General features: G+C 48.7%; 1 protein-coding gene across 4 annotated transcripts in view, besides 5 other annotated features; it reads left to right on the top strand.

Moving 5' to 3' along the window:
- Nucleotides 1–23,120, top strand: part of NOS1 (nitric oxide synthase 1) — a 153,485-nt gene that overhangs the window by 121,397 nt on the left and 8,968 nt on the right. For all 4 annotated transcript variants that reach the window (NM_000620.5, NM_001204218.2, NM_001204214.2 and 1 more), the window contains 8 exons: nt 5,472–5,665; nt 8,099–8,268; nt 12,589–12,799; nt 13,460–13,547; nt 15,093–15,214; nt 17,367–17,515; nt 19,961–20,155; nt 22,066–22,184. In NM_000620.5, coding sequence (NP_000611.1) covers nt 5,472–5,665; nt 8,099–8,268; nt 12,589–12,799; nt 13,460–13,547; nt 15,093–15,214; nt 17,367–17,515; nt 19,961–20,155; nt 22,066–22,184 — 1,248 coding nt within the window. The remainder of the gene's footprint in view (nt 1–5,471; nt 5,666–8,098; nt 8,269–12,588; nt 12,800–13,459; nt 13,548–15,092; nt 15,215–17,366; nt 17,516–19,960; nt 20,156–22,065; nt 22,185–23,120) is intronic.
- Nucleotides 2,840–3,344: an enhancer, noted in NCBI's record as "H3K4me1 hESC enhancer chr12:117674691-117675195 (GRCh37/hg19 assembly coordinates)". NCBI's record gives its function as "activates a minimal SCP1, AML or CMV promoter by ChIP-STARR-seq in naive H9 embryonic stem cells {active_cell/tissue: H9 hESC(naive)}" and the evidence as "EXISTENCE:reporter gene assay evidence [ECO:0000049][PMID:30033119]".
- Nucleotides 3,345–3,849: an enhancer, noted in NCBI's record as "H3K4me1 hESC enhancer chr12:117674186-117674690 (GRCh37/hg19 assembly coordinates)". NCBI's record gives its function as "activates a minimal SCP1, AML or CMV promoter by ChIP-STARR-seq in naive H9 embryonic stem cells {active_cell/tissue: H9 hESC(naive)}" and the evidence as "EXISTENCE:reporter gene assay evidence [ECO:0000049][PMID:30033119]".
- Nucleotides 7,223–7,389: a silencer, noted in NCBI's record as "fragment chr12:117670646-117670812 (GRCh37/hg19 assembly coordinates)". NCBI's record gives its function as "represses an EF-1alpha promoter that drives an FKBP-Casp9 reporter gene in an ReSE screen in K562 erythroleukemia cells {active_cell/tissue: K562}" and the evidence as "EXISTENCE:reporter gene assay evidence [ECO:0000049][PMID:32094911]".
- Nucleotides 13,440–13,640: a silencer, noted in NCBI's record as "peak1985 fragment used in MPRA reporter construct". NCBI's record gives its function as "represses an SCP1 promoter by STARR-seq MPRAs in K562 erythroleukemia cells {active_cell/tissue: K562}" and the evidence as "EXISTENCE:reporter gene assay evidence [ECO:0000049][PMID:32103011]".
- Nucleotides 19,929–20,485: an enhancer, noted in NCBI's record as "H3K27ac-H3K4me1 hESC enhancer chr12:117657550-117658106 (GRCh37/hg19 assembly coordinates)". NCBI's record gives its function as "activates a minimal SCP1, AML or CMV promoter by ChIP-STARR-seq in primed H9 embryonic stem cells {active_cell/tissue: H9 hESC(primed)}" and the evidence as "EXISTENCE:reporter gene assay evidence [ECO:0000049][PMID:30033119]".

Genomic DNA, 23,120 nt, shown 5'->3' with positions numbered 1-23,120 from the left:
ATAATGGTCCCTGATGCAGAGAGGGGCTCCATATTTGAAATATATTTCTCACTACTTATTTTGGTCCTATGGGAAGGGATGATTTAAGTAGCATTGTATGAGAAGGCCTAATAATCTACTGGAAATTTCTTTCAGCAACAAACTATGAAAGACCAGCTTACAGAATTTACTCCAAAAGCCATAGTACATAAGTAGTAAGGAAACTTGCAAATGTTTTGATACTAAGTGGAACCAAAAGTCCCAAAATCAGCCCCCACCCCCACCAATCCAGAGGAGGCACCTGACTCTAAGCTACGGGTCTAAAAGTGACTAGCAAGAGAATATTCCAAACAAGGTTAGAACTGGAGTGTAGAATTAAAATCAGTTATGAATTAGCACAAAAAGGACCCAGTCACACCTCCGTGTTTATCTCTTAAAAAGTATGTTCTGTATTTTCAAGCTTAAAGTGCTTTAAAAGCACTACCTATTTTCAAGCTTAATACCGTTTCCAGCTTCATAAGGCTTATAAAAAAAAAAAAGAAGAAGAAAAAGGATAATTGAGTGGAAAAGCATGACTCTCCTGTTTTTCTCCCGCCTGAGGCTGAAGTTGGGCTGTCTGGCCCAAAAGGCCACAACCAAGATATCACTAATCCCCCTGTGAGAGACCACTAATTGCAGACAAAGTGCTTATGAGGAAGTAGGCAGCCTTTTGAGGGTGATCCTTGAAAATCTAAAGAGAAAAGTGACCGCAGTCACCATCACAGCCTGGAAATAAATTTTCTAATGCACGTACAACAATTAGCAAACGACACAGAAGAGACAACATAATGGATCGCTAATGTGTGGGGTGTAGACACTAAGTTCTAGAAGTCAGGAGCAAGAGGGGAATGCAGGACTTGAGATGAACCTCTTAAGGGAGGGTGGGCTTTAGAAAGGCAGGAGAGAGGAGGGAGGTCCAGAAAGAAAGAACAGCAGAAGTCAAGGTCAGCACCGGGATGTCTGGGAGAATGGCAGACATTACAGTGGAGAGTTCTTGATGGGGAGAATGCTTCAGTCTCATCCCCCGTCAAGTAAAATTTCTTCTCTCCAGCCTTCCCAGTCTCAACAGAGGACATCAACATTTGGCTTCAGCCAAAACTTCCAGTGTCATCCTCACTCCTCTCTCTCCCTCGCCTGGGTCATGCAGTCTCTTAGCAGATGCCCTTGGCCTTGTCTTTCAACTACATCTCAGACCCACCACTTTGAGCAAAGCCATAGGCATCTCTGGTCGGAGTGACTGGAATAGCCACCCAACTTGTCTCTTGGTTTCTAAGCTTGTGTCTAAAAACATCATTTTCCGAAGAGCAGACGGAAGAATTTTTCCTTTTTTTCTTTCCTTTATTTTATGTATTTATTTATTTGAGGTTAAAAGTGGAAGTTTAATAGGTGAAAGAAAGGGCCGGGTGCAGTGGCTCACAGCTGTAATCCCAGCACTTTGGGAGGCCGAGGCAGGCGGATCATGAGGTCAGGAGTTTGAGACCAGTCTGGCCAGCATGGTGAAACCCTGTCTCTACTAAAAATACAAAAATTAGGTGAGTGTGGTGGTAGGTGCCTGTAATCTCAGCTACTCAGGAAGCTGAGGCAGGAGAATCACTTGAACCTGGGAGGTGGAGGTTGCAGTGAGCCAAAATTGCACCACTGCCCTCCAGCCTGGGCAATAGAGTGAGACTCCATCTCAAAAAAAGAAAAGAAAAGAAAAGAAAAGAAACAATAGCTCTCTGCTGCACAGAGGGGTCCTGGAGAAATGGGTTGCCAGATCCACGGTGAAATGCAGGGGGGTTTATAGATGCCTGGTGAGGAGGCAGTGTTTGATTTACATAGGACGCAAAATATTGGTTGGACCAGGCGTCCCATTTGCATAGGGCGCGAAAAACTGGTTAGGACTAGGTGTCCTACTTGTATAGGGTGTGAATTTCTGGCCACCCCCACCCTAATCTTTTACTATGCAAGTGGGTCCTCAGACAGAGGAATCTTTTAAAACCATAAATTGAAGCCTGTCACTCCCCAGCTTCACAGCCCCTGATGGTCTCCTGCTGGACTTTAGGAAACCTCCAAACTCCTTGCCATGACAGGTCATCATGAGGCTCTTGTGATCTGGCCACTACCACCCTCCAAACAAACACTCCAGCCTTCTTTCCCTTCCTTGAACATGCCACCTTTTCTCTGCCTCTGGGCCTTTGCACGTGCTCTTCCCCATCCCTGGAATGCTGTGCCTGCAGGTCTTTGCACGTCTCTGCTTAAGTGTCAAATCGCCAGAGAAGTCTCCCTGACCGTCCTGTCTGACATAGCCTGCTCCCCTCAACCCATCACCACCCACTCGTCCACATCACCAACCCCACCTGAGATCCTTTAAGTGACTTCTCAATGAGAATAGGGCACTTTGCTGTCCTTCCCCTCTCTCACCAGTGCCTAGAACAGTGCCTGACACATGATGTACAGGTGTGGAATGAATGAACCTTGTTACCTTGAGCAGTTCACAGGTGACAATATTTACTCTTTTCACTGAAGAATGCACATTTTCTGTTTTTTTTTTTCCATTTAATGCTGGACATTAGCAAATTATTCTTTCATCTGCAAACCTATCATTGAGCCACCGCCAAGCATGTGTGTATATGTGATGCTTCTGGATGTGGCTAGACATAAGTCACACAGAGGGGACACTCGGGGGGAGAAGGGAATAGGGCCCAAATGGCTGCTGCTGTTCCATTGCCTCTTCCCCTTCTCCCTGTACTTCTCATATGGCCCATATGTGTCCCAAGCTTGAAGAAAAAATAAAAAATAGGCCAGGCGTGGTGGCTCACACCTGTAATCCTAGCACTTTGGGAGGTTGAGGCGGTGGATCATCTGAAATCAGGAATTTGAGACCAGCCTGGCCATCATGGTTAAACCCTGTCTCTGCTAAAAGTACAAAAACTAGCCGGGCATGGTGGCGGGCTACTGTAATCCCAGCTACTCGGGAGGCTGAGGCAGGAGAATCTCTTGAACCCAGGAGGTGGACTGCACTCCAGCCTGGGCAACAGAGAGAGACTCCATCTCAAAAAAAAATAAAAATAATAATGAAATGCTAAAAATTCTCTACTTACAAAGCTCAGCAGAACTGAGATTTAAGACAATTGGTTTCTGAGCCAGTGCTATCGCCCAGAGGGTCGGCTTCCCAGCAAAGCATCAAAGACCAGTCCACCAAGGTGCCCTGGGGCCCCACAGCCATTCTGCCAGGGTTCTCAGCAAGCGGCATGCAGAGTCAGTCCCCTTGGTTAAACTCCCAGCAGGGCCAGAGCCTGGGCCCACCTTGCATTCTAGCCCACCTGCCAGCCACGTTCCCATGCCTGCTCCTTGTCTGCACGGCCACCCTCTGCCTCGTTCAAGAGGACTTTGGGGGAGGTGGCTGTGCTCGTGAGCTAGCTCAGCAAGTTTGGGTCCTCTGCATTTCTATTTTGTACAAATCGTGATGATCTGGGAAGAAAGCGGGAATTGATTTGCGGGCCTTTCAAAGGCTTCCTTTGGGTAGACTTAGGAGGCTCCCAAATTAGAAACCCCACAGCGCCCCCTGCTGGCCCCGGCTTCTGCGAGTTCCTTCTTGCAGCTCTCTGGAGGTGTTGTCTTTTTGCTCCCCAGGAACCAAAGACTGGTGTGAGCTCTGAGAAGGCTCAGTCGTGCAAGTTCCCAGACAGGGCAAGGTCTGCCCATGGAGGGCCAGTGGGACTCCAGACTCTAATACTGCCATTCACAATTATGGTCGCTAAGTTCCCCACTATGCTAAGGGCGGGGATGCCTTGCTTCAAGAAAATACTTGACACCCTTTCCTCCCCCAAAATAATGTGCCCGCTCAACTCTTTTTAATAATGGTGGCTATTTGTAGCACAAAAGGTTCTCGGTTGAGCCAAAAAGTCCTTTAAATAGCGAGTCCCATTGGGCTATTCAAGTGTTGATTTACATACCATAGAGAATATAGAAACTTCATGTTGAATATCAAGCGTCTCTAGCCACTGAAAATTAATTGGCAATGAAGAAAAAGCAGATCTGAAAAAGCAATCGTAGCTCAAAGGGTGCAAAGGATTTGATTTCTCAAAGTGTAATCGATCCTCGAGTTTGCAGGTGTTGGGTGAAATGCAGTATATCTGTACTGAAATACAGATATGGGGTTTGTTTGTTTTTTGGGTTGGGGTGGGAGGATGTAGTTTCGCTCTGTTGCCCAGGCTGGAATGCAGTGGTGCAGTTTCTGCTCATTGCAACCTCCACCTCCTGGGTTCAAGCGATTCTCCCGCCTCAGCCTCCCAAGTAGCTGGGATTACAGGCACATGCCACAATGCCCAGCTAATTTTTGTGTTTTTAGTAGAGACGGGGTTTTGTCATGTTGGCCAGGCTGGTCTCAAACTCCTGACCTCAGGTGATCTGTGTACCTCCACCTCCCAAAGTGCTGGGATTACAGGCGTGAGCCACCGTGCCCAGCCTGTACTGAAACTTTTTAAAGGACCAGAATAATCACATTCTGAGAGTTTATTATTGAAAGCTGTTGGATTAGCACAGGCCTCTTGAACTTGAAACACAAAAATCAATGCAGAAAGGTTATAACCCGGTGGCATCAATGAGTTTCCTTCTGTGTTTTCTTTTTAGATCTCTCAATTTTGTAATATTGATGAATTTATGCATAGGAGGAACCCAAGCTTAAAGCCAAGTCTTTTTTCCTTTACCATAACAATACGAGGAACCCTGGTTGCCAAAGGGGGTGGGGCTTGGAATTCCTAGGAGATATAGAATTTCACAGATTGGGGATGCCACAGCCTGTGGTCCCAGTGAAGTGCTAGACACTGAGAGAACCCCTATTAGTACTGAGAATGGGGTGCTAGAATCCAAAAGAAGGGAGTTAAGAAGGAGAGAATGAGGAGTTATGCCCAATACTGCTTCCAGATCCAGATGAACCCTAGGAACCAGCCACTGGATTTGCAGTGAGGAGTTCACTGGTGACCTTGATAAAAGCCTCAGTGTAGAATGATGGCTGAGCATTGTGGCCCTTACTTGTAATCCTAGCACTTTGGAAGGCCGAGGTGGGAAGATTGCTTCAGCTCACAAGTTTGAGACCAGCCTGGGCCACATAGGGAAATTCCATCTGTACAAAAAATTCCAAAATTACCCAGGCATGACGGTGCCTGCCTATAGTCCCAGCTACTTGGGAGGCTGAGGTGGGAGGATCATTGAGCTTGGGAGATAGAGGCTGCAGTGAGCCGTGATCGCACCACTGCACTCCAGCCAGGGTGACAGAGCAAAACCCTATCTCACCATAATAATAATAATAATAATAATAATAGAATGATGGGGGCATAGGCTTGGTTAGCACGGGCCCCAACAAGAATGGAAGGAGGAGAATTGCAGCCAACAAGGACAGACAGAAGAGCAAAAAAAGGAGGAAGTAGCTGCTGGCCCTTGTCCTATGATTCCTCTGCAATTTCCTGCAGTCGGTCAACTATCTTCGTGCGTCTCCACACCAACGGGAGCCAGGAGCTGCAGTACCAGCCTGGGGACCACCTGGGTGTCTTCCCTGGCAACCACGAGGACCTCGTGAATGCCCTGATCGAGCGGCTGGAGGACGCGCCGCCTGTCAACCAGATGGTGAAAGTGGAACTGCTGGAGGAGCGGAACACGGCTTTAGGTAACATTCCCGGGGACCCTTCCCTGCTCTAGGGAGCTGCAGAGGCAGTGGGTGTCTCGGGAAGAAGATACCTTTTCTTCCCAATCACCAGTCCAGGCAGGAGAGTGGGTGTCTGTTGCTAACAGCCTATGAGACTAAAGATATCCCCCTTTCTCATGACTGATCAACCTTGGCCCAACCAGCTGAGCAAATAAATGCACATAGTGCCAGGCCATTGATGGCTCACCATTGAAAAAAGGGGGCTGCTACCTTCCTTCATTGACTAGACACGGACTTTAGCAGTAGCCATTCTTTTCACTTTCCATCCTCACCACTAGCCCTCAGGAAAATCTCTAGTACCCCATTGTCCACCAAGTAAATAACAGCTGAAGTCTGATCCTGCCTCCTCTTAGAATCAAAAGGTACTATAGGAAGCTCGATGGCCAACTAGGGATTGAGCCCACGTTTTTTACCTCATTAGGTCAAGTTCTCGCCTGCTTAAGTGTCCATCCTTGACATTCATATTGAAGAACTTTCAAAGGCAAATGGGTCTCAGTGCTTCATCCAGGAGCACAGGTGGGCTCAGGAGTCAGGTACAAGGAACTGCAGTGAGCTTACCTGGCAGACCAATACAGGACTGTCACTTTTACAAAAGAGCTAGGATGTAAAGTCAAGATAGAATGTGAAGTAGCATGTAGTCAAAGCCCTGCTGAAAACCTCTCAGGAAGGCACTACTTTAGAGAGACATACCCTCTTTTTTTTTTTTTTTTTTTTTTTGAGACAGACTTTTGCTCTTGTTGCCCAGGCTGGAGTGCAGTGGCGCAATCTTGGCTCACCACAACCTCCACCTCCCAGGTTCAAGCGATTCTCCTGCCTTAGCCTCCTGAGTAGCTGGGATTACAGGCGCGTGCCACCACACCCAGCTAATTTTTTGTATTTTTAGTAGAGACAGGGTTTCATCATGTTGGCCAGGCTGGTCTCAAACTCCTGATCTCAGGTAATCCACCCGCCTTGGCCTCCCAAAGTGCTGGGATTACAGGCATGAGCCACCGCACCCGGCTGAGACATACCCTCTCTTAATAAATCCTGACTGAGTGAGGTGGCTGACGCCTGTAATCCCAATACTTTGGGAGGCTGAAGCGGGCAGATTACTTGAGCCCAGGAGTTCGAGACCAGCCTGGGCAACATGGCAAAACTGCATCTCTACAAAAAAAATACAAAAATTAGCCAGGCATCAGGCCGGGCATGGTTGCTCACTCCTGTAATCCCAGCACTTTGGGAGGCTGAGGCAGGTGGATCACCTGAGGTCAGGAGTTTGAGAGCAGCCTGGCCAACATGGTGAAATGCCATCTCTACTAAAAATACAAAAAATTAGCCAGGCATGGTGGCACATGCCTGTAATCCCAGCTACTCAGGAGGCTGAGGCAGGAGAATCGCTTGAACCCAGGAGGCAGAGGTTGCAGTGAGCCAAGATCACACCATCACACCATTGCACTCCAGCCTGGGCAGCAAAAGCGAAACTCCATCTCAAAAAAAAAAAAAAAAAAAAAAGTAGTGAGGCATGATGGCACACGTCTGTAGTCCCAGCTACTCAGGAGCATGAGGTGGGAGGATTACTTGAGCCCGGGAGTTCAAGGCTACAGTGAGTTGTGATCGCACCACTGCACTCGCCTGGGCAACAGAGTGAGACCCTGTCTCAAAAAAATAAATAAATAAAATAAAAATAAAAATAAATCCAACCCAGACAGTACTTCCTCTGTGTTGAAATAGAGCTTTTTATTTGGGATTGAACCCCTGATGGAGAAGAGGCTTATATTTAGGGACGTATTGGATGAAGAGTGTATAGAGGGGGTACAATATAGTAGTTAGAACAACGTCTGAAGCCACACTGCCTGACTTCACGCTTATGAGCTGTGTGATCTCGGGCAAATTTCTTAACCTCTCCATGCTTCTATTTTTCTCAGCAGGGAGAAGAATAACACTGTCTTGGATTGTTGTGATGATTAAATGAGCTAATATAAAATACTAATAATAGTACTCGGCATATAGAATGTGTTAGTGTTTATAATGACAACACTAACATCCCATTCAGGGGGTGAGAGGCTGATACCATGCAAAGACACATGGGGCCGAAATAGGCTTATCTCTGTCACGCACAGCTGGGGGCTCATTGTATAGAATGCCAGTGGACTGTCATGCTATTTTAGTATTTTTCTCCTCTCTTCATGTATTTTTCTTAATTTTTGGATTCATTTGCCTAATTTGGGATTTGCTTCTTGCACACATGAAATCCCCTGGATTCTGGGCATGGAAGGTGGAGAGCTAGAAGGTTGCTTGGCTCTGGAGCCACCCTCCTCTCCTGGCCCCATCCTCTGCTCCAGGAGCAGACCTGAACCCCCGACTTGGACTCAAGCCCTCCCACACCCACCTGTCACCTGCCTTGTACCTCCACAGGTGTCATCAGTAACTGGACAGACGAGCTCCGCCTCCCGCCCTGCACCATCTTCCAGGCCTTCAAGTACTACCTGGACATCACCACGCCACCAACGCCTCTGCAGCTGCAGCAGTTTGCCTCCCTAGCTACCAGCGAGAAGGAGAAGCAGCGTCTGCTGGTCCTCAGCAAGGTGGGTCCCCAGGCTTCGCACAACCCTAGGGGGCGCATTTCACCTCCTCGTCATTAAAGAGTTGAAAACTGTTATTACCAGGCTTCCAGCAGATGGAAGTCTTGAGCCAAGGGGGCCATTATTTGCTGTAGATTGCCATATTGGCTGGTCCAACGTGGCTGGTCTTCCACCAGTTCTAAGGCCTGGCAGAGCAAGAGTGACTCCCTTGAATCAACAGTTCCCTGGCTACAACAGAAATTGCTATTCTAACTCTTTCTGTCTTCTTCTGGAACCTTGAGCTTCCATTAGTGCCATCTTAGCCCATGCTTAGGAGAAAAAGAAACAGGATCTCACCATGCCTTGGTTTAAAGATAAGGTTTTTTCTTGTTTTTTGTTTTTTTAATTTTTATTTTTATGGGTACTTGGTTGGTAGGTATATATATTATGGGGTACATGTGATGTTTTGATACAGGCATACAATGTGTAATAATCACATCAGGGCAAATGGGGTATTCATCCCCTCAAGCATTCATCATTTCTTTGTGTTGGGAACATTCCAATTCCACTCTTTTAGTTATTTTTAAATATACAATAAATTGTTGTTGACTATAGTCACCTTGTCTAGATCTAGGAAATACTAGATCTTATTCTTTTTTTTTTTCTCTGAGACAGAGTCTCACTCTCTAGCCCAGGCTGGAGTGCCGTGGCGCAATCTCGGTTCACTGCAACCTCCATTTCCCCGGGCTCAAAGGATTCTCGTGCCTCAGCCTCCCGAGCAGCTGGAATTACAGGTGCCTTCCACCATGGCCAGCTAATTTTTGTAGTTTTTTTCTTTAGTAGAGATGGAGTTTCACCATCAAACCCCGATCTCAGGTGATCCACCCACCTCGGCCTCCCAAAAGTGCTGGGATTACAGGCATGAGCCACTGCACCCGGCCTAGATCTTATTCATTCTATGTGACTGTATTTTTGTACCCATGAACCATCTCCACTTTCCCCCACTCCTCCCCACTACCCTTCCCTGCATCTTGTAGCCCTCCTTCTACTCTCCATCTTCATGACTTTATTTGCTTCTAGTTTTTAGCTCCCACAAATGAATGAGAACGTGCAAAATTTGTCTTACTGTGCCTGGCTTCCTTCACTTAACATGATGTCCTCCAGTTCCATCCATGTGGCTGCAAATGATGAGCTTTTGCCAATGCAGAGGAGCTGCAGGGGGGACTATTAGAGATCAGAGGTCTCTGATTGTAAAATGAACCAAATGTAGCCTCTACCACCTTGCTTAGAAACCCTGGGATCACCTGCCCCAGCCCACTGCAAAGCCTTGCTCAATAAAAATTCTACCCAGGAGAACCACCCATGCTGCTCCCAATGGGGGCTCCTTCCCAGTGAGCAAGCCCCCAGCACAGGATGGCTTAGCTTTCTTCTGCCGTCCAGGAGAGGGGATTGAATGGTGGGCAGCAAGGAAGAGGCTAATTAGCGAGTGCATAGTATTTAGAAATATGAAAATAAATAGCAGAAGGAACACTTAAAGGGCTGTAAGTAGTTACCTCCAAGGACTTGGAAGCAGATGGCAGAGGTAGAACAGGAGACCATTATTTTTAATCATAAGCTTTACAAAGTTATTTAACTTTTTAGACTATCTGCAAGTATAATTTTGATTTAAAACTTTTAATTAATGGGGGAGGGTGGCTAATAGGAAGAAGGATCATAGATTGTACTGTTGGTACCTTATTAGATTGCACTGTTTTTATCTTATTTAAAGCAGAATTTGGGCACAGTGGCTCATGCCTGTAATCCCAGCACTCTGGGAGGCAGAGTTGGGAAGATTGCTTGAGGCCAGGAGTTTGGAACCAACCCGGGCAACATAGACCCCATCTCTACAAAAAAATTAAATTAGCTGGGCGTCATGGCACATGCCTGTAGACCCAGCTCCTCAGGAGGCTAAGGTGGGAGGATCACTTGAGCCCAGGAGTTCGAGGCTGTGGTGAATCACGATCTTGCAACTGTACTCCAGCCTGGATGAAAGAGCAAGACCCCATCTCTATAAGTAAATAAATAAATAAAGCAAGACCCCATCTCTATAAATAAATAGGCCGGGCACAGTGGCTCACGCCTGTGATCCCAGCACTTTGGGAGGCCAAGGCAGGCGGATCACCTGAGGTCAGGCGTTCGGGCCCAGCCTAGCCAACATGGTGAAACCCCGTCTCTACTAAAAATGCAAAAATTAGCTTGGTGTGGTGGTGGGCACCTGTAATTCCAGCTACTCGGGAGGCTGAGGTAGGAGAATCGCTTGAACCCAGGAGACGGAGGTTGCAGTGAGCCGAGATCATGCCACTGCACTCCAGCCTGGGTGACAGAGCGAGAATCTGTCTCCAGATAGATAGATAGATAGATAGATAGATAGATAGATAGATAGAAGAATTTGATATAACCCATATGTATTAGTTCATTTCTTCCAAAAAGTGCAGACTTCAAGACAGGATTAAATGAGAAAGGATTTTTATTAGGGGAAACACCTGTGTGACAGAAAATGGAAAGGGATCAGATAAGGCTGGGAGAACCATCAGACCTCAAAACAAATCTAACCCCAACCAAAGGAAAAGGAAGAAAGGTTGGATGGGAACATTCTAGATAGCAGTGCAGTTTAAGGAAGGCCCAGCAAGGTCCTTGAGTAGCCCTGGAGACTCCTGTGCTTGGTCATTGGCAGGGAGCAGCCTGTGGGAAGCCAGGCCTGGCACCAACAGGGTGATGGATGTCAGTTTCAGGTGATGTCAGTTTCAAAGAGTTGAGAGGCCAGGGCTCTTGGTCCATGTTGCTCCTGCAACTGCAGGCCAGTCAGGCTGGAGGTCTGAGAAGCACAATGTCAAGGATGCCATCGCCTATTAATAGGGCCAGAACAGGCCGGTCGCAGTGGCTCATGCCTATAATCCCAGCACTTTGGGAGGCCGAGGTGGGTGGATCACGAAGTCAGGAGATTGAGACCATCCTGGCTAACACGGTGAAACCCTGTCTCTACTAAAAATACAAACAATTAGCTGGGCGTGGTGGCGGGCACCGGTAGTCCCAGCTACTCGGGAGGCTGAGGCAGGAGAATGGCGTGAACCCCGGGAGGCGGAGCTTACAGTGAGCCAAGATCGTGCCGTTGCACTCCAGCCTGGGCAGCAGAGTGAGACTCCATCTCAAAAAAAATAAATTTAAAAAAGTTTAAAAATAGATAAATAAATAAGGCCAGGACAGTCTTTAGGAACATGGTGAAAATCTTTGTTACACAGTGCACTCGCACCCTGGTCTCAGAAACTGAGCCTTCTGTTCCAGCAATCAGAGACTGCCTAGGGCGTCTTCTGAGATTAAGGAAAAATAACTCCAGAGCTCCAGAGAGTTCCTCTGTTGCCTGGTTACAGCTGGGCTTTGCTGTCAACACGTCCCCAAACATGGTCCTCCACACACCCCAACCTGATTTTTCTGGGGCTGTCACTCACCATCATGAACATGACCCAAGCTCTCCAAAGATGCATCTCCAGACTCTGCAACCAACAAATCACAGGTCTCCACTGAATGCCTGCCACTCCCTGCATGAGTCATGACTCCCTTCCATAGTGCGTCTCTCTTGACTTCAGGAGTGTGTAGTGACTAGGAACACAGATTCTGAGGACACACTGTCTAGAGCAAGGATCAGTTTCACCCAGCATCACCACCTAGTAGCCATGGGACCTCTATAACCCTCAGTTTCCTCATCTATAAAATGGGGAAACAGTAATACCTATTTCATAAGGTCCTCATGAGAATCAAAACTTAGCACAGAATAATTGCGATTCAAGTGTTAACTATTATTGCTCCCTTTTTCTTTTCTTTCTTTCTTGCTTTTTTCTTCTCTCTCTTTTTCTTTCTTTCCTTCTCCTTCCTTCCTTCTTTGTTCCTTTCTTTCTCTCTCTCTCTTTCTTTCTATCTGTCAACAGGGTCTCACTCTGTCACCCAGGCTGGAGTGCAGTGGCATGATCATAGCTCATGGCAGCCTCAAGCACCTGAACTCAAGCAGTCCTCCCACCTCATCCTCCCAAGAAACTGGGGTACTGCAGACATCCACCACCACATCCAGCTAATTTTTCTTAATTTTTTGTAGAGACAGGGTCTTACTATGTTTCCCAGGCTGGCCTTGAACTCCTAGCCTCAAGTGATCCTCTCTCCCCGGCCCCCCAAAGCACTGCAATTACAAGCATGAGCCACTGCACCTGCCAACTGTTACTTTTATTTTGCCTTCTTCCTGGACCCCCTCAGGTCCTCATGGGAAGTATGTGGCAGCTGGGTTCAAGCTTGTCTCTGTCCATCTCCTTGGCACAGGGTTTGCAGGAGTACGAGGAATGGAAATGGGGCAAGAACCCCACCATCGTGGAGGTGCTGGAGGAGTTCCCATCTATCCAGATGCCGGCCACCCTGCTCCTGACCCAGCTGTCCCTGCTGCAGCCCCGCTACTATTCCATCAGCTCCTCCCCAGACATGTACCCTGATGAAGTGCACCTCACTGTGGCCATCGTTTCCTACCGCACTCGAGGTGGGCGGAGGCACTGGGAGAGCCTCCTCAGCTGCATTTTCCCCCAAGGGGCCTCTGGAGGGTTCCCTAAACCACCGTCTGCAGGCTAAATCCCAAATCCCTGGGAAGAAACTCATCCCCAAGACCAGAAAGCTGGGGGAAGAAGCAGCAGGTGAACTGTCCCCTGGTGCAGAGCCAAGCCTGAGCAGAATTAGGAAAGAGGCAAGATGTGTATTTACAGTGGCGCCCCCTAATATCCCCAAAGCAGCAACTAGAACAAGCCACCACTACTCACTCCCTGGGAGAGCGCTCTGCTGTATCATGCCCAGCTGGTTGTAAGTCAGATAACCCAAGCTCTGCCCTGTATTTTTCCTCCTAGATAAAGCAATTAAAATGCACAGTGCCCGTCCCAGGAGCCCAGCAAGCCACCAGAAGCACCCTTCAATAGGGAAGGATTCGAATCCGACCCACCCCTACCCAATAGAACCCTGGGTGGTTGCACAGGCACGAAGTCACCCCAGCTATACCATTTCCTCTTGCCCTTCAGAGGAAGGGATCCTGGGGAGGAATTCCAAAGGATAAACTTGGCACTGGGCCTGTGGGTATTTTGCACTGGAGGGAGGAGGGGAGGCCGTGCTCGGGAGCAGTGGGTGGCCCTGACTGCCTTGGTTATTCTACTAGATGGAGAAGGACCAATTCACCACGGCGTATGCTCCTCCTGGCTCAACCGGATACAGGCTGACGAACTGGTCCCCTGTTTCGTGAGAGGGTGAGTAATAAGTGGAGAAAAATGAGCAATCATCTCAAATCTGCATATTGACGTCACAAGTTGGGGTAGGTGGACCAGTCTGAAGGGTTCTAGAGAGATGGCTGGGTGACACACGATGGAGACCAATGTCCTGCGTCTCTCTTAGTTGTTAAGGAAACAAGATCAGAGCAGCACAGCAAGCTAGGCAAGTCCTCTGGTCAATGTCAAGTCAATGCAACACACATTTCATTTGGGCGTGTACTGGGCTAGGTGCTGGAGCTATCGGGGAAAACCATGCAAATACAGTCTCCACCTTCATGGACCGTATGGGCTAGTGGAAATTCTAGCCAAATTCTACTGCTCGCTCCCAATCAGTCCCAGTTTCCTAGAGATGGAAAAAATCCAATCACCCCCATTCATTGGAGCTTTTCCTCCCAAATTCAGCTGTAAAGGCTATAGCTGATCTTAGACCAGTTATAGTTAACCTGTTTTGTCGATCAATAACTTCTCTACCTGAACAGTGACTTTGGCCAATCATTTTTCTCAACCATTGAGGTTAGAATGTTCACGATATGATCCACATGCCATTGATAATGATCCAAATCTCATTGGCATCAGAGTCCTCTGGGGTGTTTCAAACATAGAGTCCTGAGCCCAGATGTACTGTATGGCCCAGGAATCTGCACCTTGAACATCCCCAGGTGATTCTTTTACACACTGAAGTCTGTGACTCCTTGATTTAAAGATTTCACGGTTGGTTAAACCAGTGGCTCTGGGCTGGGCGCAGTGGCTCACGCCTGTAATCCCAACACTTTTGGAGGCCAAGGAAGGCAGATCACTTGAGGTCAGGAGTTCGAGACCAGCCTGGCCAACATGGCGAAACCCCATCTCTACTAAAATACAAAAAAAAAGTAGCCGAGGGTGGTGGCGGGTGCCTGTAATCCCAGCTACTTGGGAGGCCGAGACAGGAGAATTGCTTGAACCTGGGAAGTGGAGTGCAGTGAGCCAAGATCACACTACTGCACTCCAGCCTGGGTGACAGAGTGAGACTTCGTCTCAAAAAAAAAGAAAGAAAAAAAAATGGTGGCTCTCAAACCAGGGTGATTTTTGCAGCACCCCACCCCACCCCTGCCACCCAGGGACATTTGACAATGTCTGGAGACATTATGAGTTGTCACAACTCACATGTACTCCTGGCATCTAGTGGGTGGAAGCCGGGGATGTTGCTCAATACCCTACCATGCATAGGACAGTGCCACGACAAAGGAGTGTTCACCCCAAGTGACCAGGGTGCCAGCGTAGAGATACCCTGGGTTGAATTTGCTGAGCTCAGCAGTGAGAAGAATTGGGGAATGGAGAAATAGCCAGAACTTGAGGACCCCCCATTTTTGGAATTCCCCTAATCGATGAGACTCCCACCCTGGAAAGGGGCACCTGGCCCCGGCTGAAGAGCCTTAAGTCTCATTGTATGTCTACCGAAGATGGCCACCTGGTCTACCTAAGATTCAATTGTTCTTGATTGGATTTGAGCTCTGCAAGACTTCTGACCCCCTCTTCCTTGCCCAGAGCACCCAGCTTCCACCTGCCCCGGAACCCCCAAGTCCCCTGCATCCTCGTTGGACCAGGCACCGGCATTGCCCCTTTCCGAAGCTTCTGGCAACAGCGGCAATTTGATATCCAACACAAAGGTGGGTTACAGTCCAGTGGCCACTTGGTTCCCACCCCCGGACCTGGGGAGGTCCAGCTGTGTCTCAGCAGCCCTAGAGAACAGTGAAGGTGTCTCTCCACGGCATCACCGCCTCAGAAAAGCTGGGGCGTGTAGCACCAGCCTGACCTACAGGTGAAGTTCATGGTGTAATCCAAACAGCCTGTCCCAGGGGCCTGAAATTCCAGGCCCAGAGGACATTTCTTTGACTGTTAAGATGTGATCTCTTCAAAAAAAATCCAGTAGCCTGGAAAAGATAGGCATTAGTCCTTATCAAATGGCTATGCTTATGTAATTATTGCAAAGACTGTTATTCAAGAGCAAGTGCTATGTGAAAGACACAGCAGATCAGCTTTGGGAGGAGAGAGAGAGAAAGAAACCCAAATTGTGGCATGCGTTAAACAAGGATTTATTGGCCGGGCGCGGTGGCTCACGCCTGTAATCCCAGCACTTTGGGAGACCCAGGCCAGCGGATCACGAGGTCAGGAGATCGAGACCATCCTGGCTAGCACGGTGAAACCCTGTCTTTACTAAAAAATACAAAATTTAGCCCGGCGTGGTGGCGGGCACATGTAGTCCCAGCTGCTTGGGAGGCTGTGGTGAGAGAATGGCGTGAACCCGGGAGGCGGAGCTTGCAGTGAGCCGAGATCGTGCCACCGCACTCCAGCCTGGGTGACAGAGTGAGACTCCGTCTGAGAAAAAAAATAAAATATAAAATAAAATAAAACAAGGATTTATTGAGCACCTAATGAGTGCCAAACACTATTGGAGGCGTTGGGGCATAGCAGTGAACAAGACAGAAAAGCAACTAAAATAGAAATGAAAACCTTTCCATTGATTTGAGGGATGATTATAAAAACAAATCAATCAGTCAGTAAAAACTTGCCCCCATGAAACTGTCATTCTAGCGGAATAGCTAACATTTATAAAGTACTTGCCAGGTATCAGGCAGAGTTGTAATGTTTCACATTCATTTCTCACAACAGTCCTGTTACTTCCATTTTGCAAATAGGGAAGCAGAGGCTTAGAAAGTTGAGTACATCGTGGCTGGGTGCGGTGGCTCACGCCTGTAATCCCAGCACTTTGGAAGGCTGAGGCAGGTGGATCACTTGAGGTCAGGAGTTCGAGACCAGCCTGTCCAACATGGTGAAACCCTGTCTCTACTAAAAATACAAAATTAGCCAGGCATGGTGGCACACATCTGTAATCCAAGTTACTTGGGAGGCTGAGACAGGAGAATCACTTGAACCCGGGAGGCAGAGGTTGCAGTGAGCCGAGATAGTGCCATTGCACTCCACCTTGGGCAACAAGAGTGAAACTCTGCAGGTTTCACTCTGCAGGTTGCAGTGAGCCAAGATCACACCACTGCACTCCAGCCTGGGCAACATAGTGAGACTCCATCTTAAAATAATAATAATAATAAAATAAATAAATAAAAAGGCCAGGCACAGTGGCTCACGCTTATAATCCTAACACTTTGGGAGGCCAAGGCGGGCAGATCACAAGGTCAGGAGTTCGAGACCAGCCTGGCCAACACAGTGAAACCCCATCTCTACTAAAAATACAAAAATTAGCCAGGCGCGGTTGCAGGCACCTGTAATCCCAGCTACTTGGGAGGCTAAGGCAGGAGAATGGATTGAACCCGGGAGGTGGAGGTTGCAGTGAGCCGAGGTCGTGCCACGCACTCCAGCCTGGGTGACAGAGCTAGACTCCATCTCAAAAAAAAAAAAAAAGTTGAGTAAGTTGTTCATCACAGAGCTGAGATTTCAACCAGGCCGTCTAGCTCCAGAGGCTTGGGTCTTAGGCCCAGAGTCTGGGCATCAGGTGGGGGCTCCTAAGTAGTCAAGGAGCAGAAGGAAGGATTGAGACCTGGGAGGGAGATCCACTAAAATCTGAACACACTTCACCTCCTTCCTCAGTGCGTGCATATGTATGTGTGTGTATGTGTGTGCATGTGCGTGCATGTGAGCACCTGTGTACATGTGTGTGCACGCATACATCTGCCTGTCCTAGTGTTTGTGAGCCTCTATCCGCATGGCACACGCTAAGGTCTCAGTACCCCATCCCTGGCACCTCAGCCACCCTGCACATCAGGCAGAGAGCCATCGGTGACATAAGGTCTTCCTGGTCCCCAGGAATGAACCCCTGCCCCATGGTCCTGGTCTTCGGGTGCCGGCAATCCAAGATAGATCATATCTACAGGGAAGAGACCCTGCAGGCCAAGAACAAGGGGGTCTTCAGAGAGCTGTACACGGCTTACTCCCGGGAGCCAGACAAACCAAAGGTAACCCCCAGCAGCCCACCCCCTAGCCCAGCCCAACACACATGCACACTTGGACATCCTACTCTCAGAAACCCCTCACCCTCACTCTTAAGCTTCCTGATTTTCCCTCTATGAAGTTGCTCTGTACTTCAGAAAGCATGGGTAGGGAAAATATCTATGTAAAATATTTAACAGGCCGAGCGCCTGTAATCCCAACACTTTGGGAGGCCAAGGCAGGTGGATCACTTGAGGTCAGGAGTTGGAGACCAGCCTGGCCAACATGGTGAAACCCTGTCTACTAAAAATGCAAAAATTAGCCAGGCATGGTGGTGCACACCTGTAGTCCCAGCTACTTGGCAGGCTGAGGCAGGAGAATCACTTGAACCCAGGAGGCAGAGATTGCAGTGAGCTGAGATCGCGCCACTGCCCTCCAGCCTGGGTGACAAAGTGAGACTCCATCTCAAAAATATATATGTGATGAAATAAAATATTTAACAGCCTATATTATAAGATTCAACTTATATGTAATATCCAGAATAGGCAAATCCATAGAGACAGAGTAGATTAGTGGTTGCCAGGGGCTGAGGGAGGGGAGAATGGGGAGTAACTGCAAATGGGCATGGGGTTTCCATCTGACGTAAAGAAAAAAGTTCTGGAACCAGATAGTGATGATCCCGTAACACTGAGAAGGGTACTTAATGCCACTGAGTCATACACTTTAAAGTGGTTACGACGGTAAATGTTACATGACGTTTTTACCATAATGAAAAATGTGGGGCCAGGCACCGTGACTCACGCCTGTAATCCCAGCACTTTGGGAGGCTGAGGTGGGAGGATCACTTGAGTCTGGAAGTTCAAGACCAGCCTGGGCAACATACTGAGACCCTGTCCTTACAAAAAAAAAAAAAAAAAAAAAATTTAAGTTAGCTGGGCGTGGTGGCGTATGACTGTGGTCCCAGCTCCTTGGGAGGCTGAGGCAGGAGGGCAGCTTGAGGTGGGAGGGTAGCCTGGGAGGTCAAGGCTTCAGTGAGCTGTGATCATGCCACTGCACTCCACCCTGGGCAACAGACCAAGACTCTGTCTCTAAACAATAAATAATTAGAAATAAAAATTAAAAATATTTAAAAACAGAAATTAAAAAAAACAAATTTAGGCCGGGTGTGGTGGTTCACACCTGTAATCCCAGCACTTTGGGAGGCCAAGGTGGGCAGATCATTTGAGGTCAGGAGTTCGAGACCAACCTGGCCAACATGGTGAAAGCCCATCTCTAATAAAAATATAAAAATTAGCTGGGCGCGGTGGCACATTCTTGTAGTCCCAGCACTTTGGGAGGCCGAGGTGGGTGGATCACTTGAGGCCAGGAGTTTGAGACCAGCCTGACCAACATGGTAAAACCCCATCTCTACTAAAAAAAAAAGCCAGGTGTGGTGATGCATGCCTGTAGTCCCAGCTATTCAAGAGGCTGAGAGGCAGGAGGAAGGCTTGAACCTGGGAGGCGGAGGTTGTAGTGAGCTGAGATCATGCCACTGCACTCCAGCCTGGGCAACGAGCAAGACTCTGTCTCAAAAATAAATAAATAAATAAATAAATAAATAAATAAATAAAAATAAATTTAACAGCCCATAAGAGGCAATACTAGTCAGAATGGACACGGGCCACAGAACTAAAGCTCCATGGGATCTTGGGGAGGTCTGGGGGTCCCAGGGAAGGAGTCAGGACATCGTGGCAGGTTGGGGGGGCACTCAGAGAGTCCGGGCAGTGTCTGACTACTAGGGTGGGAGTATCTCAGTCTTAAGAGTCGCTACAGCCATACCAGCATGTTCCAGCTAAATATCAGCTTCAGAGTGGGAGTTTCCTGGACAAGTTAAAGACATCCTGAACAAATGAGCTCCCTGGAGCTGTACTGGACACGCCTTGTGCCCACCTCACACCTCCTTAGCCCACCTTTTCCTTCTGCTATCGCTACAGCAGCCGGCTTTGCAGAGGTGGAAGCTGGCAGCCCCTCACCTCACCCCCATCTCTTGCTATCGGCCCAGGGCTTCCCTGGCACTGTAACATAGGGTGCCTGCAATAACCAGCTGCACACCTGGAAATGTGCAGGTGTTAACACCCGGTGACCATTGGCCACCAGGAGAGAGAAGTGGGTAGTGAATGCTCCCCGTCTTTCCCCTCTCCAGGGGATGATTCTGGGAAACAGTCTATCCAGCTCCCTGGAGGGTCCTTAGCAGAGCTGAGCTCCAGTTATCCAAAGAGGGTAGCAGTGCATTCCCGCACCCTCCAATTGACTTTCCCGCCTTCTCTATCTCACTCTTCCCAGTCCCTCACTCTTGTTCCCTGGGATCAGCTCACAAAAGATCCTACCTGCCCACAAGCCCCTGAGTCAGGCTCTGCTTCCTGGGCAGACATGGGCTATGGCAGGCACGTTGCACAGCCCAGCCCCTTCTCACTGCTCTCTGCTCCTTGCAGAAGTACGTGCAGGACATCCTGCAGGAGCAGCTGGCGGAGTCTGTGTACCGAGCCCTGAAGGAGCAAGGGGGCCACATATACGTCTGTGGGGACGTCACCATGGCTGCTGATGTCCTCAAAGCCATCCAGCGCATCATGACCCAGCAGGGGAAGCTCTCGGCAGAGGACGCCGGCGTATTCATCAGCCGGATGAGGGTGAGTGACAGGCTGACTTCCCAGGTCCCTTTTCCTACATCCACTCTCCTATCCCCCCTTTTTCATCCAACCTGTCTTGATGATTAGGGGAGCCACGATGATATCCCTGCTCCCATTCGTTGCACTTACCACTGAGGGTAGAGGATATAGATGGTCCCAAACAATGACAGAGAAAGTAGAAGGATGGCTGGGCATGCAGGCAGGTGTAGCAAATATGACTGGAGGCTGTGTGTGAAAATAACGAGTGAGTGGACCTCTGGTAGCTAGACAGAAACCATTCTAACCTAACTTCTCCTGCCCCAGAAGCTGCAGCACTGCCCCATGTAGTTGTGCAGGTTGGGCACTGCACAAAGAGATCCGAGGAGAACTGTGGAGCCCTCTATATACTCAGTCTCTTTAGTGTGACCCTCTAGACACACTTTTAAAGATTCCCCAGGATTTTGCAGAAGAGAGTTTAAAACTCACCCCGGCTGGGCTCGGTGGCTCACGCCTATAATTCCAGCACTTTGAGAGGCCAAGGTGGGAGGATCACCTAAGGTCAGGAGTTCAAGACCAGCCTGACTAACATAGTGAAACCCTGTCTCTTCTAAAAATACAAAAATTAGCTGGCTATGGTGGCGGGCACCTGTAGCCCCAGCTACTTGGGAGGCTGAGGAAGGAGAATTGCTTGAACCTGGGAGGTGGAGTTTGCAGTGAGCCAAGATCGTGTCATTGCACTCCAGCCTGGGCGACGAGAGTGAGGCTCCATCTCAAAAACAAAAACAAAAAAAACAAAACAAAACAAAACAAAAAATGGCTGGGTGCAGTGGCTCACGCCTGTAATCTCAACATTTTGGGAGGCCAAGGCAGGTGTATCACGAGGTCAAGAGATCGAGACCATCCTGGCCAACCAACATGGTGAAACCCCGTCTCTACTAAAAATACAAAAATTAGCTGGGCGTAGTGGCGCATGCCTGTAGTCCCAGCTGCTCAGGAGGCTGAGGCAGGAGAATCACTTGAACCCGGGAGGTGGAGGTTGCAGTGAGCCGAGATCACGCCACTGCACTCCAGCCTGGGTGACAGAGCGAGACTCTGTCTCAAAAAAAAAAAAAAAACAACTAACCCCAACTGAAAATGAACCCACTCTACAGATGGGGAGGCTGGAACCTAGTGCACGATTATGCCTGCCTTGCCAGACGCACACTCCCAACCACTGCCCTTCTTCAGCATTGAGATGCATTTTCTCTTTGTTTGATCCTCTTGCCCTTTGAGAATATTGACTGCCCGCCACAGGAGCTCCCATAGCTTGGTAAATTCTCAGATGTCACAAGTCAGTCGTCGTTTGGGCTGTTTCTTGAGACTCCGGGGGAGGTTCTTCTCTTTGCTTGCTTCTTTCTGGGCAATGTTGAGCAAAGATGCTCATCTTCAGAAAAACTCACGCATGCCCACGGAGTCTCCACTGTGGGTAGCTGTGGGGAGTTCCCTGAGTGCTATGCGGCCACTTGTTCCTTCCTCCCCTTTCTTCTGGTCTCATGGGCTATTTCACACTAAACCCAGTTTTGCCCAGACCTGAACTTGCAAGAGCACGTTGGAGGGAGGAAAGAGGGAATGGTGAGGTTTCCATTTGACCTCATCGCTCCTTTTCACCTGAGAATCCACCAAGCAGCAGCGGTGTTTCCAGATGGCAACCTAAATGTTCTTTGCCAACTGGGCTATGTCCCAGAGAACAGTTGCCCCACGTCCCAGAGAACAGTTTTGCTGAGCAGAGTCTTCGAGATCAAAGGTACCTCGGGGACACTGGCTTCAGCCTCATCTCTTTGGGAACCATCTTCCTTAGGGATATTCCATTCCAGGTGTCAGGCAAGTCTGCCCCTGCTCCAAGCCTTTATCTGGCATTTGAGAGCTGTTTTCTGGCTGTTTCTGTCTTCTAGGATGACAACCGATACCATGAGGATATTTTTGGAGTCACCCTGCGAACGTACGAAGTGACCAACCGCCTTAGATCTGAGTCCATTGCCTTCATTGAAGAGAGCAAAAAAGACACCGATGAGTAAGCTGGCTCCATCCCTGGGTGAGGGGCAGGAAGAGCCCTCTCTTCTAGGTCCCACTGGGCAGGAATGTCTGGCTTTCCCACGGCAGGGTCCCCAAAACAGCAGCATCAGCACCATCTGGGAACGTGTTCAAAATGCAAATTCCCAGACCACCCCAGACCTGCTGGATCTGAAACTCAGGAGTTAGGATGCAGCAGTTTGCCTTTTAACTAATTCTCCAGGGGAACCCTGAGGCCCTGTCCAGTGTGGGAGGAAATGCCTGCTTTGGGGGCCGGCTTCTGTTTGGGGCACCCCCTAGTGTAATGATGGCTCCTACCTCTGGGAAGTTGCTTTTTTTTTTTTGACGGAGTCTTGCTCTGTACTCCAGGTTGGAGTGCAGTGACACAGTCTCAGCTCACTGCATCCTCCACCTCCTAGGCTCAAGCAATTCTCGTGCCTCAGCCTCCCAAGTAGCTAGGACTACAGGCGTGCACCACCACACCCGGCTAAGTTTTGTATTTTTAGTAGAGACGGGGTTTCGCCATGTTGGCCAGACTGGTCTCAAACTCCTGACCTCAAGTGATCTGCCCACCTCAGCCTCCCAAAGTGCTGGAATTATAGGTGTGAGCCACCGCACATGGCCGGAGTTGTGACATTTCTACCAGAAGTATCTGTCTTGTTTGTTTTTTACCTACTGGGGTTTAGCATCAGATTTAGGGCAAGGGTTTCTTCTACAAAAGTGTTTGAACGCTGCTCATTTAGGAAAGTGGGGAGAAGAATGGGATCGCCCCTGGAGCTAGGTGGAGGTCTGGCGCTCAGTTTTTGTGTCCTTTCCACCAGCTCTCTCATCCCCTAAATGGCTGGGGGCTTTTTCATCAACACAAATTATAATTCACATGATTTTGACAATTTCACTGAACCTCTAGAAATTGCTGGAAACAGGCTGAGGCACCAGA

This window comes from Homo sapiens, chromosome 12 (assembly GCF_000001405.40).
Source record: "Homo sapiens chromosome 12, GRCh38.p14 Primary Assembly".
Classification (NCBI taxonomy): domain Eukaryota; kingdom Metazoa; phylum Chordata; class Mammalia; order Primates; family Hominidae; genus Homo; species Homo sapiens.
Note: the sequence above shows the minus strand (reverse complement) of the source record. Positions and strands in the feature narration are given on the sequence as shown.